The 13,764-nt window shown below is 41.0% G+C and overlaps 4 annotated features.

Moving 5' to 3' along the window:
- Positions 206-406: a silencer, noted in NCBI's record as "peak5670 fragment used in MPRA reporter construct". NCBI's record gives its function as "represses an SCP1 promoter by STARR-seq MPRAs in K562 erythroleukemia cells {active_cell/tissue: K562}" and the evidence as "EXISTENCE:reporter gene assay evidence [ECO:0000049][PMID:32103011]".
- Positions 1,091-1,591: an enhancer, noted in NCBI's record as "H3K4me1 hESC enhancer chr6:14235700-14236200 (GRCh37/hg19 assembly coordinates)". NCBI's record gives its function as "activates a minimal SCP1, AML or CMV promoter by ChIP-STARR-seq in naive H9 embryonic stem cells {active_cell/tissue: H9 hESC(naive)}" and the evidence as "EXISTENCE:reporter gene assay evidence [ECO:0000049][PMID:30033119]".
- Positions 1,592-2,092: an enhancer, noted in NCBI's record as "H3K4me1 hESC enhancer chr6:14236201-14236701 (GRCh37/hg19 assembly coordinates)". NCBI's record gives its function as "activates a minimal SCP1, AML or CMV promoter by ChIP-STARR-seq in primed H9 embryonic stem cells {active_cell/tissue: H9 hESC(primed)}" and the evidence as "EXISTENCE:reporter gene assay evidence [ECO:0000049][PMID:30033119]".
- Positions 7,109-7,178: an enhancer, noted in NCBI's record as "active region_24050". NCBI's record gives its function as "activates an Ori minimal core promoter by ATAC-STARR-seq in GM12878 lymphoblastoid cells {active_cell/tissue: GM12878}" and the evidence as "EXISTENCE:reporter gene assay evidence [ECO:0000049][PMID:35858748]".

Here is a 13,764-nt window from a genome sequence, read left to right on the forward strand (position 1 = left end):
TTGAGAATGCAGTATACAAAAGTCTCAGAAATGGCTCTAAAACAAAATTGCTTTTAAGAGCATGTGGGTGTGCAAGGCATGTGCCTCCTATTTTTTTTTTAATGATGTTAAAATTCACAGAAACAAAAAGTGTACCGTGTTGGACATTTGTAAGTGGTAGTTTAAGTTCAGTAGTGGTACATAGATTCATATTGCTGTGTTAGCCAATCTCCAGAACCCTTTTCATCTTGTAAAACGGAAACTCTGTACCCATTAAACAACTGCCCATCCCCACTCCCTTAGCCCCTATTCTGCTTCTTGTCTCTCTGAGTTTGGCTACTCTAGGGACCTCATGCAGCGAGATAACACGGCGTGGTTGTCACGCATTCTCCACAGTTTTGCTTTCTGCAAGTTCGCTTACCCTCAGTCAACTGAGGTGCAAATATATTAAATGAAAAATTCCAGAAATAAACTATTCAGTCCCTATGCATGGCTCATGCCTGTAATCCCAACACTTTGGGAGGCTGTGGCAGGCAGATTGCTTGAGGCCAGGAGTTTGAGACCAGCCTGGGTAATATAGGGAGACTCTGTCTCTGTTTTTAAAAAAATGAAGTTTATAAATTTTATACTGCATACCCTTCTGAGCAGTGTAAGGAAATCTAGCACCATCCTGCTCTGTCTGGCTTGAGACCTGAATCCTCCCTGTGTCCAGTATTTTCACACTGTACACTTATGCATGTATAGGAAAAAACAGTATATATAGTGATATGGTCTGGCTCTGTGTCCCCACCCAAATCTCACCTTAAATTGTCATCTGAATCATAGTCCCCATGTGTTGGGGGAGGGACCTCATGGGAGGCAATTATATCATGGGGGGCAGTCCCCCCAAGCTGTTCTCTTAATAGTGAGTGAGTTTTCATGTGATCTGATGGTTTTATAAGGGGCTTTTCCCTTCTTTGCTTGACACTTTTTCCTCCTGCCATCATGTGAAGGCGACATGTTTGCTTCCCCTTCTGCCATGATTGTAAGTTTCCTGAGGCCTCTCCAGCCATGCTGAACCATGAGTCAATTAAACCTCTTTCCTTTATAAATTACCCAGTCTCAGGTATGTCTTTATTAGCAGCGTGAGAACAGACTAATACATATGGAGTTCAGTACTGTCTACGGTTTCAGGTACCCACTGGGGGTCTTGGAATCTAACCAGGAGGATAAGGGGGATCACTGTATTTGTCTTTCTGGGACTGACTTATTTCGCTGAGCATAATGTCCTTCCAATTCATCCAAGTCATAGCCTGTGTCAAAATGTCCTTCCCCTTTAAAATAGCGTATTCCTATTTATTGTGTTGTAGTGTGTTTCCCAGTTCACAAAGGCATTCATACTTTTCTTTCTTCCACACTCCTTTTCTCTGCATTGCAGCCGGGAGTGGTTATTGCCCCTGGGCTACAGCTAAGGAAACAAGCCTCAAGGCTGCAAGACCACACAGAGAGCCGGGGACCAGAACATGCCTCGGGTCACTGGGTCCAGCACACTTTCCCTGAAGCTCAGCTGCATGTGCAAAGCCCTCGCTGAACTTGGGAGCAGTTCACAGGGCACAGGCAAGGGGAAGACATCCTGGGGTCAGAAGACCCCCCAGGCAGAGAGAACAGATCCAGCAGCAAGTCAGCAAAAGGACACAAGTGGAGGGAAGGCTAGGTGGCAGAGCCCAGCTCTGGTCCCAGTCCAGGTAGTTGGCCCTGCTCACCCTGGCCACTCACTGTGTCTCTAGACACAGGAAATGGGATTACCAGGCCAGTCTCAGGAGTTGGGTGAGGACACAGCGCTTCAAGGCTGACCAGCCCTGACAAGGCGAATCCTCCAGGTTGTTCATCAGTGATTAGAGCAGCTGTCCAGGAGGGACAGGTAATGAAGTAGGGATCTGAAATATGCAGTGGTGGCTGTAGGCACGCTGCCTGTGATTGCTGCCAGTGGGAGCCAGGAGCATTAATGAACTGAGTAAACTCCCTTCCCTTGGAAGATTTGTATTTGGGGCGTCTTGCTGGGGTGGTGGGGCTTACCTCTGAAGCTGGCATCTCACCTCTGTCAGCATTCTTGGCCAGTCCACCAGACAGTTCTGAAGAAGAAAAGACCTTGTGCTTTGGGGAGCTCACCACCCCTCCTGAGCTCTAGCTGCTTTCTGGTTGCCAATGGCCGTGGTAATGCTCCAGTTCCTGAAATAGCTAAATAAACCGCACCACTGACATTTAAATCAACGTTCTCTGGGACCTGGGCTTGGTCAGAGCAGGAAACAAGCAGGGGTTTGCTGCCTCTGGTTCCAACTGGGAAACTGCCTCCTATACTACTCAGCTCTATCCTCTCATTTGGGGACTCTTCTGGGACATTTGCTATTTGTCATGGCTGGGGCCTGGGATATCCTAGTTAATCACATATTCTGGTTAAAGGTGAGCAATTAGCTATTCACAGAGCACAATTTTTCAAAAGGCTTAGAATGCTAGAAAATATACTCAACAGTAAATTACAAGTGACATAATCCAATCTAACTTTTAAAACACTGAAGGCACTTTTATTTCTTTAGGAGCATCAGTGTGAACCCTAAGCACTCAAGAATTGAGAAAACATGCAAACACTAGTTAATAAAATGCTGGATAAACAGCTTCTAATGAATTTCCCATGTCTTGATTCTGTCATTTTTTTTTTTTTTTGAAAAGGCACTGGGCATGTTTGAAGATGATTAAGATTGTGTAAACTAATAGAGGAGAGTTGACTTTAGGGGCAACTTCAACCAAATCTGCATTCAACACACAATTCCCCTCTTTAAACTTTCTGACATTTTCTCCCTGCCTTTGCTTTGGCATCAGGGGCTCGCTCCATTCTATTTAGTAGTTTACTTTTGGAAAATCTTTCTTTATTCTCACCTTGGAAACCATAGGAAATAAGTCTCCTCTCCCTGTTTTCATAGAATCAGAACATTCATACATCTTTGTTTCCAGTTTCCTTTTAGCTGAACCTGTCAGTTCCTGCAAACTTCCTCAAATATTTGCAGACCCTCTTTTGAATATTCTCTTGTGTGTGGGGGTTCCAAAGAGAACTATGAAGGCACACATGGTAAATGTGATGCTGAATGCCATGAAACCATCATGTCCTTCCTTCTGGATTGTATGCTTCCATGATAGTGCCTGTGAGCTCTTTCTGGGATCATTCTCCCTGAGTTCAAATCCTGGCTCTGCTACTTACTACCTCTTAACCTTGAGCAAGCAACTAAACTCTTGAATGCTTGGTTTCCTCATCTACGAAAGAGGCTAATTATAGTATCAACCTCACAGCCTCACAAGATTATGGCAATTGACATCATACGTGTAAATGCTTAGCACACACTTGGAAGATAGTAAAGGCTCAATCAGTGTAGCTGCTTGTAGAACAGCTGGCATGAAATCACACAATGAAGCCTAAATGGCCGGGTTCACATCCAAGCACAGGTTCAAAATTTGACCCACCACCTATGAGATGAATTTGTAAGTGGCTTAAATGCTTTGTGCCCCAGTTTTCTTATCTGTAAGATGGAGATCTAGGGTTTGTATGAAGATTAAATGGAGCTGTTATATGTAAGATACTTGAAACAGAGCCTGGAAAGTAAAAAGGGCACATGAAAGCTATTATTATTATTATTATTATTATTATTATAGCTTGAAAATGCATCTTATTTTTAAAAGAAGTCACATCAAAAGGTTGACTCACATTGGAGCTATGGTCACCAACATACTGGTTCCCATGGCCCCTCTTCATCTGTGTGTGGAGAATTCTCATCCTTTTTTTTTTTTTTTTTTTTTTTGGTGGCTCAAACTACCACCTTAGCAGAATGTCTTGAACATGGTAAGTGCTTTTAGAATTCTTGGCCTTTGGAATCACGTCTATCTTTCCTCTGTACTATTTGAAATCTGCTTTCCTGGATTCTGGATAGTTTGATTGCATACTTTGTCTTTAGACTGTGCTTGAGAGCTGCTGCTCCTGAAACTGCTTGGATCCTTCCTGGTAGAACCAATTCCCCACGACATTGCACCCACCACTGTACGATGTATTTACATAACCTCACCCCCTGTTAAACTGTAAGCCCTCAAAGCAGGACTGTGCTAATTCATTTTTCTATATTTATTACATACAGGCCTCACCCCTCCATGACTATAAACTGGGGGCACATTTAGAGTAATACCGAACTTCTTCATGCTCTTGGCCTACTGCCAATTGGCAATAAATTATTCTTTTTCCAGAAGCGCTTAGCATAAAGGAAGGCCTAAAAATGTTTTGGAATAAATGCTGTGCTTAACCTAGCCGGGAATCCCCACCTGCAACAAAAGTGATAATGTTGGAGAAACTTGTCTCAACTGAAAAGTATTTCCAAAATGATTATTATCATGACTTTTAAATTAGCAAAGTTACTTTTCCAAGAGCATTTTCTTTTCTATATCCCAGCTAGCATTTTCAAGAAATTTCAGAATTAAGTCAGCAAGAGAAAAGAGAGATAGCTATCTTTATTTTTTTCGATCTTATTCCAGGTTAGAGACTCAATTGTTTCTTAAAATAAAATACAAACTTATCTTTTGTTTTCAGCAAAGGGACACTTACATGAGATACGTAGATTAAAAGATTTTCATTGCTCCTATATGTTGCGTTTAGGCCAATTTTGTTACTGAGGGAAAGTATTGAACTAGTTCTTCCTGTTGCCATACCCGGCTCTAATTTCCAACTGCAGCTTCTTCATATAATTATTTTAACCTGATTTTTTTTTTACCTGAAATTGAAATATTAAGCAAAGATACCACAAACAAAGTCAAAAGCAAACAACTAGGAAGAATATCTGCAGCATATATTATGGACAAAATATTAGTATCGAGTTAGTAAGGTAAAGACAAATACACCAATATAGAAATGGGCAAAGAATATGAATAGGCAATTCACAGAAGAAATGCAAATATTCAGTCCATAATTAAAAGTTGCTCTATTTCGTTAGTAATCAAAGAAGTGGAAATGTAAAATGTAATGAGATTTTTTTTTTACCTATCAGACTGACAAGATTAAAATGAATAAAAATGGCTAGTATTAGTGTGGAATTAGGAAATGGAATTCTCAAGAAGTAGTTGAAAGGAACATAAACCTCATGTAGCATTTTAACAACGTTCATTGAGAGCTTTCAAATGTTAGTACTTAATGATACAATTTTACTTTAGAAATACATTTGTAAGAAAAAAATCTGACAATTGTGCAGAGTTAATATGTAAAAGGTCTGACACAAAAGAACTCTGAAGGATCATAAATCTCTGTGGTTAAGAGAGTAGACAAATATATTGCTTAACATCCATAAAAGAGAGTGCTATATATTCATTAAAAAGGAAGAAGTGGAGGCATATCTCTAAAATATACATTTAAGAGAAAAAACAGATGCCAAAAATGGTATGGTCTGGTATGATATATCTTTATTTTATAAGAAAAACAGAAAAAAATGGCTGAGAATAAGAGTACATTTATTTGCTAGTATATATACTTCTGTACTATTTGATATTTTAACAGTATGTCCTACTTTTATAATAGAAGACAAAAGCATTTCTACCTTGGAAAAAAGTATTGGGAAACTGTTGTGTTTCTGTGTGTGTGTGTGTGTGTGTGTGTGTGTGTGTGTGTCTGTGCGCACACATATCACAGGCAAATAAAGGAATCAATGTTTGCAAGGCAGAAAAGTACCATGATGTCCATGATGTCCAAGAATACATGGAAATGATGGGTACAGAAGAATGTAGAGGACTGTTAATGGCCATAAGAGCTCAGGAACTTAAAAGCTAGTGTCGGATGGTTCATACACAGAGAACTCGTAGCCGAGTCCTTAATGTATACTGAGGAATGACTTGGAGGTTGACAAAGAAGGTATAGGCAATAGCATTCCCAAATACTTGAAGTTTCGAAAGCTTCAGGGGATGCCTGCTTGCTATGGAGACCATCCCTTTCTTCATATTAGAGCCTCTGTCAATACAGAAGTTCACACCACAAGTTTTTCAGAATATAGTAACCAAGGCTTTCTGTTAACTCAAACTTGCCTTGGCCAATCAGTCTTCTTCATTTCTCCCTCCTATACCATCAGCCCTATATCTCTAATGTCCTTCAGGTCATCTCATCTCGGATATCCCACCAAAATGCCAAACATAACATGGATAAAGCTTATCAACATCCTCTCCAAACAAACGATCCTTTCCCACTTATCTCTCATTACATTCTCCTTATCTGCTTGGTCCGTGCTGTCCATTGTGGGGGCTACCAGCCACGTGTGGTTTTTGGGCACTTGGAATGTGGCTAGTCTGCATGGAGGTATGCTATAAGCAAAAAATAAACCCCAGATTTGGAAGACTTAATATGAAAAAAAGAATGTAAAATATAACATTAAATGATGATATTTTGGATATATTGTGTTAAATAAAATATATTATTGATATAATTTTATTTCTTTCTTTTACCTTTTAAATAGGGGTACCAGAAAGCTCATAATTACATATGTGGATTGCATAATTACATATGTGGATTGCATATTCCATTATAGTCATGTGAAGGCTACTCTAGACTGTGCAACCATGAGGTTATCCTTTTCCTGTTCTTGGGGTTTCATATGAAATCAATCAACAGGTGGTGACACCACCTCCTGGTCTTTTATCTGTCCTCTTCATGTCCTGACCACTGGGCTGGATAAGTCCTCTGCTTTGTAACAGCACCGACTGTACCTGGCTGCTTCCATCTCCTTTCCACTCCAGTCTCAACTCAGCTGCCAATGAGCAAACTCGATAACCTGAATAACTGAGAGCCAACCCCATTCAAACGCCCCTTGAGATAAAGAAGAAAACAAATAACCAAATAAACTCCCTGAATAACTGCACTGTATATAAAGAACCAATGTGCTAGAAACTGAGGAACCAGCCATTCACTTAATTTTATAGGCTACCCTTAATATCAACAAACGCCTCTCACCAACAAATGAAATACTCCTTAAGAAAGAAACAGGATGCCCTTTATAAGCACAGGTGGAAGGAAATGCAGCCTCTGACCGTCCAAACCACAAACAGACACACACAAATTCTCTTTGCAGTTTTGTTTCAGTTCAATCTTAAAGACATTCAGGGTCCTGGCCTCCTTTTGAGAAGGGTTAGGTATAGCATAAGCACAGTTCTGGTCCTGGACTCTCAGCTTTGGGGATCATGACTTGACAAAAAATTTCCATAAAGTCCAAATTCTTCCTCATGCAGCGAAATAGCCAATGGTAAGAAGGTAACAATGGAAATAGCCATTCAATAGATTAGATCTTGGAGATGACTAGGAATGACTGAAGGTAAAGATAATCTTTATCAATTTTAATTCTCTTCATCCATTCCTGCCTGTCCCATGGCAGCATCCAGCAGATGTGAGGGGCACACGTGGGCTCAAGCAGAGGCTGGACACCCTTTGCAAGACAGAGCACCTCCTCTCCAGCCAGCACTGCTTCACTTCTTCTGAAGGGTTGACCAGTCGTCCTGCAGCCCTGCCCTGCTGCTTAAGTAGAGGCTAAAAGTTGGTATAGTCTGTGCAAAGAACCTACACACAGGAGCCTCTAGTTCCTGGTGGAAACACTGACCTATGACCACTTCAGAAAGAAAGACAAGCCTCTCAACCAGGCTATCAGGAATGATTCTCTGTTGGGTCCCCAACTGATGACTATAGAATAACAAGATCATTTTGATAGGTTATAAATCCAAACTGATCTCATTTTCATTTTCAGACTCACACCTCATAAATGTGTCCTTCTTGACTGGTTGAACGTGCCAATTTGGAGAGCAAGGTTGTCACCGTGGCAGTAGATCTTCTTTCTAATCATAAATACCAAGTGCATTTAGCACCATGCAGAACTCCAGAAGAGAATGTCAATGGATTCCCTTTGCTGTATCCTTAACATGAATTTCTGCACACACACACACACACACACACACACACACACACACGAACACTCCAAATTTCCACAGATGTGAAGTTAGGCAAAAATGGAGGCCCAGGTCAGCCTGAGGGGAGGGTGTGGTCACGTGGGGAGGATCTAGAATGCCTGCCTTTGGTGTTGCTAGCAGATTTACAGGAGTCTTATTTGTTCTTTCTTTTTTTCTGAAGCACCAGGTGGCAAAGCCAATTTCTTTCTCTTGAGGGCTGTCTTGTGAGTAACTGCCCATCTGCCAGCAACAAAAAGGAGGAGGCCTCAGGCCGTGCTCCACACTCACCTCCTCATGCTGCCCCAACAAAGACAGTTCATCCCTGGCCTGCAACAGGTCCCTCTTGAGATTGGTGTGAACTCCTCAGGCTGATCAGAACATATTTCAGCTGATGTTGGATTTGCTATGATTGTATCACACTGACTAAAGTGTCTGGTAGACGTAGACTGCGCAAGAAGAAAATAGACTTAGAGATCACAACGGCTTAAGAATAAAGAAATGACGAGATTGCTGGGTCTAATGGTAGTTCAGCTTTTAGCTCTCTGAGAACCTCCATACTGCTTTCCACAATGGTCGAATTATTTACACTCCCACAAACAGTATATACTCAGATGAATATAAATCATTTTACCATAAAGACACATGCATGCTAATGTCCATTGCAGCACCATTCACAATGATAAGACATGGAATCAACCTAAATGCCCATCAATGACAAATTAGATAAAGAAAATGTGGTACATATACACCATGGAATACTATGCAGCCACAAAAAAGAACAAGATCATGTCTTCTGTGGAAACTTGGATGGAGCTGGAGGCCATTATCCTTAGCAAACTAATGCAGAAACAGAAAACCAAATACCACATGTTCTCACTTATAAGTGGGAGCAAAATGATAAGAACTTATGAACACAAAGAAGGAAACGAGACACTGGGGACTACTTGAGGGTGGTGGGTGGGAGGAGGGAGAGGAGCAGAAAAGATAACTATATTGTATACTGGGCTTAATACCCGGGTGATGAAATAATATGTAAAACAAACCCCCATGGCACGTGTTTACCTATGTAACAAACTTTCACGTGTAGCTCCAAACCTAAAATAAAAGTTATAAAACAGAAAACCAAGGATAAAGAAATAATACTTCTTCATCAACCATCTCTGTGACAGGTACTATGGAAGGCATGTAACAGACATTACCTTATGCATTCATGACAACAGCCTTATCAGAAATGTCTCATCCCCATTTTACAGATGAGGGAACTAAAGCTCAGAGACAATGTGAACCAGAATAAACCAAGTTACAGTAACACATCAATCTCAAAATCTCAGTGGCTTAAGGCAACAATGTTAGTGGTTCTCTGGGGACAACTGTCCTTTGTGTGGTGATTCAGAGGCCCAAGCCATTTTAATACCATTGGATCTGTCATCTCAACACAAGGCCTGTAAATTTGCCCCAGCAGGGGAAGTGAGAGACTGGAGAATCTTGCAGCGGACTTCCGCTGCCTCAGGCCAGGAGTGGCATATGTTCCTTCGAGTCAGATGGCCTTGTTTAAATGCAAGGGGCTGGGAGACAGTATCTTCCCAGAACGTATATTGGTGTGGGCTATAATGTCCGGCAGGGAGAGGTTAAGTGGCTTTCACTGCCTTTCTTCCATCTCTTATTCACCCCGTCCTGCCTGTCTGTATAATTTTTCTCTCTTGCAGACTGGATCCCTTGAATTTTATGGTTCATATGTTGAAAACAAGGACACCTACAGGGCACGATGTTAGTGTTACAGATTCAGCCACCGAAGTATCTCATCTCTCCCTGTCTGTCTCTTTCCAGTTTCCCAGGGAGAGGACAAGTTAGGATGCCTGTCCTCTCGAGAGTCAACCATGCCTGGGAGAGAGGGGAGAAAGGCCACATGATAGAAACAGGGCAATTCCTGGTGCAACCTTGTAGATGAAGAGTGGGTAAAGGTGGCTGATCCTCTAAAAAGAGGGTCATTCAAAACTGTAAGTAGCAGAATGAGGATTAGGACCCAGGTCTGTCTGACTCCAGACCTTTTTTTAAACTGCACTTACTACACGTATATATAGCCTCCTGGACATTTTAAAAGTCAAAGAATTAGGAGAAACAGCCCCTGTGTATACAAAACCAGGGTTGCTGCAGAAAACTATGTATTTTCAGATAAGACTTACTATGGCATACACAAGTCAGTCTAAAACTAAGGGAAATATTAATTGGTTTGTCAGAGTTTACAGTCCTCTGTTTGTGGTATAGGCCTCCCAAGGCTATAAGATAAAGATGACTTCCTTTCTCCTCAAGAATCTAGCTCCTAGACCTGCTCTCCAATATAGTAGCCAGTAGCCTCCTGTAGTTATTTAATTTTAAATTTGCTTATATTGAAAATTCAGTTTCTCAGTCACATGAGCCACATTTCAAGTGCTCAATGGCCAGTGTGGCTACTGGGCATACCATTGGATAGTTCAGATATAAAACATTCCCTCATTGCTCTGTGTTTTCTTAGACAGCACTAGGCTAGCCCTTCAACTCATGGGTCTCCCCTACGGAGGAAACACTCTGAGTACAGGAAAAAAACTCAGCATTCTCAAATGGAATCAAAAAGTTTTGTACTGGCCGGGTGCAGTGGCTCACGCCTGTAGTCCCAGCACTTTGAGAGGCCAAGGTGGGTGGATGATGAGGTCAGAAGTTCGAGACCAGCCTGGCCAACATGGTGAAACCTCGTCTCTACTAAAGATACAAAAAATTAGCTGGGCATGGTGGCAGGTGCCTGTAATCCCAGCTACTCAGGAGGCTGAGTCAGGAGAATCACTTGAACCCAGGAGGCAGAGGTTGCAGTGAGCCGAGATCTTGCCATTGCACTCCAGCCTGGGCGACAGGGTGAGACTCCATCTCAGAAAAACAAAACAAAACAAAACAAAACAAAACAAAAAACGAAAGAAAGTTTTGTACTAAAGAAAATTAAGTCGCCTTAATAATAAAACCCACTGAAACCACCCTAAGACTCCAAAAGAAAAGATGGCAGGAAAGGTAAAAGAAGAAACAGGACTTCATTGCCCGTGGTTGTAGGAACGATTCAAACAGGCTCCAGTGAGAGTTAAGCAACATAATTCTCTTCATAAAGGTAGTTGGCTCCATTGCCAATGAAGTCTCACCTCAGCCCTCGGAGTGAACCACACACAGAGACTGCACAGACTCCTGCAAGGAGCATATCTTCTCTAGAGCCCGTGTTCTCTTGTGTCTCTCCACGTTCTTCCTCTTTTATCCTTCCTCCACCTCCACTCTCACTTCATCTATGTTTTCTACTGCAAGACATTCACTCTCCTTCCACTCTTAACTCCCTTCAACTATCAAGCCACGTCACAGATCTAAATGGAATACTTTCTCAAATGGTACTCTGCCATCCAGGCAGCCATGAAGGCAAGGCCAGATTGAAGGGTCTCGAAAGATGATTTTGATTATCAAAAAATGACTATTGCCTTGAGGGGTACTTGTTTCTCTTTTGCAGAATGCAGCGCTGAGTATGTCTAAGGCTGGGTGAACATATAAGGTGCATTGCAAAGCGGTGTCCAAGCATGTTCTGTGGAATGACGGTTAAAAGGTATTCGTTAGCCAAACCAAACCAAACTGAACCAATAGTTTCCAAGGTCCAAAAAATTGAGGGCGACACTAGGTTAACATGTGTAGCCAAGAGTCTTTAATATGCAAATGTGTCTTGTGAATTTCCAGGAGGATGTCATCATATGCCACATTTCCTAAACTTATTTGACCCCAGATCCTTTTAGTTTTGCAGGGTTTTCTCACTGGATAAAAAACTCAGGCCCTAAAGTAACAAAGCTGGTTTCCATGGGTGACTTGGCCCTGAAAATAATTTCAAAGGAATGCTTGTCCTACAAATTTTGAGATTTTGGAGTGTCATACAAATGTTTCCAAATTGACTGTGAAAGACAAGCCGAGTGTGAATAATATATTCTGTTGTAGTCTTCAACAAAAGTTGCTCTCTAGATACTTGGTATGTTTAGTTGACATAGAAAGTTGAAAGTAAAGAAAATAAGGAGAAGAAGAAATAGGAATAAAGTATGAAGCCACAGAGAGAAAAAAATAACTCTTCATCTGGATTAAGCTTGGCTTCAAACGTTTAAATTGTCATGTCTAATGATATTGTGAATACCTCCTTTTGAGACTGAATTAAAAATTTCTAAGGGACTCGTATAAGAAGGTTTGGCAATCTTTGGGAATGAGGTAGTTATTCTTCATGGCCAAATCTAGGCTGGCAGTGATGTAACTTTCTCTCCAAACTGTCCATTACTGTATGTGGTTTGGTCTGGCTGACCCACAGGTAACACAGTACTTGGCTGTGACACACAGTACTCCCTTTGACACACCTCAGAGCTTCATTTCCTTTCTAATTTTTTTGCCTCATGGCCAAGAAAGTGGGGAGCCTATTCTATACTTCTGCATGTTTTCCTTCCGATTGTGAATTGATTCTGATAAACAAGCCCAGTCCCAAGGCTTCTAGCGACATTAATCTCAAGAAATGTGGTAGGTGAAAGGAAATCTGCAGTAACTGTTTCTAATAGTCAAATATGTAATTATAAAATAATTTGGCTCAAAATTAAGAACATTCCCATAATGAACAGTATTTGAGTTAAAACAGAAGCTATGAGATTTCAGTCACACCATGTAGATCCAGCTTTGTGCTGTGCCAGAGTCAGCAAAGTTGCCCAAAGACGACACCTGTTAGGGCACACGTGATGGCTGGCAGAAATATTTGAAACCTCAGTTTAAACACAGATAGGAATAGGGAAAGAGATGACTGAAGAGCACCTGACAGAATTCAACAACCATTTAAAGATAAAAACTCTTAGCAAAATAAGAATAGAAGAGAACTTGTAAATCTGAAACAGTGCGAAGCAAAAAACCTACAGCTAACATCATACTTACTGAAGAACTATTGAAGACATTACATATAAGATAAGAAACAGGACAAAAACATCTGCTTTAATCACTTCTATTCAACATTGTGCTGAGAGCATGGCCATTATAATAAAGAAAAAAAAAACCCAAGAAACAAACAGCATAAAAATTTGAAAGAAAGAAATAAAACTGTCTTTAGTTACAAATGACATGATTGTATACATAGAAAATTTTAAGTGATCTGCAAAATAACTGCTAGAAATAACAAACGAATTTATCAAATTTATAGGATATAGATACAATAAAAATTTTTATATGCTAATAGCAAAAAATCTGAAAAGTGAAATAACAATTAATAGCATCAACACATAAACTACTTAGAAATAAACTTAACAAAATTACAAAACAATGCTAGAAGACATTTTTTTAAAGTTTAAATTAAGAGAGATATACCATAGTAATTGACTTTCTTTCTTGATTCAAGGCTCAGTATTGTTAAGATATCATTTCTCCACAAGTATAGCTGGGCATGGTGGCTCACACCTATCATCCCAGCACTTTGGGAGGCTGAGGCAGGAGGACTGTTTGAGCCCAGGAGTTCAAGATCAGCCTGGGCAACATAGTGAGATCCTGTCTCTGCAAAAAGTTTTGAAGAGTTAGCTGAGCGTGGTGGCACGTGCCTGTAGTTCCAGCTACTTGGGAGGCTGAAGTGGGAGGATTGCTTGAGCCCAGGAAGTCAAGGCTGCAGTGAGCTATGATTGTGCTACTGCAGTGCAGCCTTGGGGACTGAGCAAGACCCTCTCTGCCCCCCCCACCGCCCCCACAAAAAAAACCCACAAATAGATTCAGTGCATTCCAAGTCAAAATCCTAGTTTTTTT

The sequence above is a fragment of the Homo sapiens genome, chromosome 6 (assembly GCF_000001405.40).
Source record: "Homo sapiens chromosome 6, GRCh38.p14 Primary Assembly".
NCBI classification, from domain to species: Eukaryota; Metazoa; Chordata; class Mammalia; order Primates; family Hominidae; genus Homo; species Homo sapiens.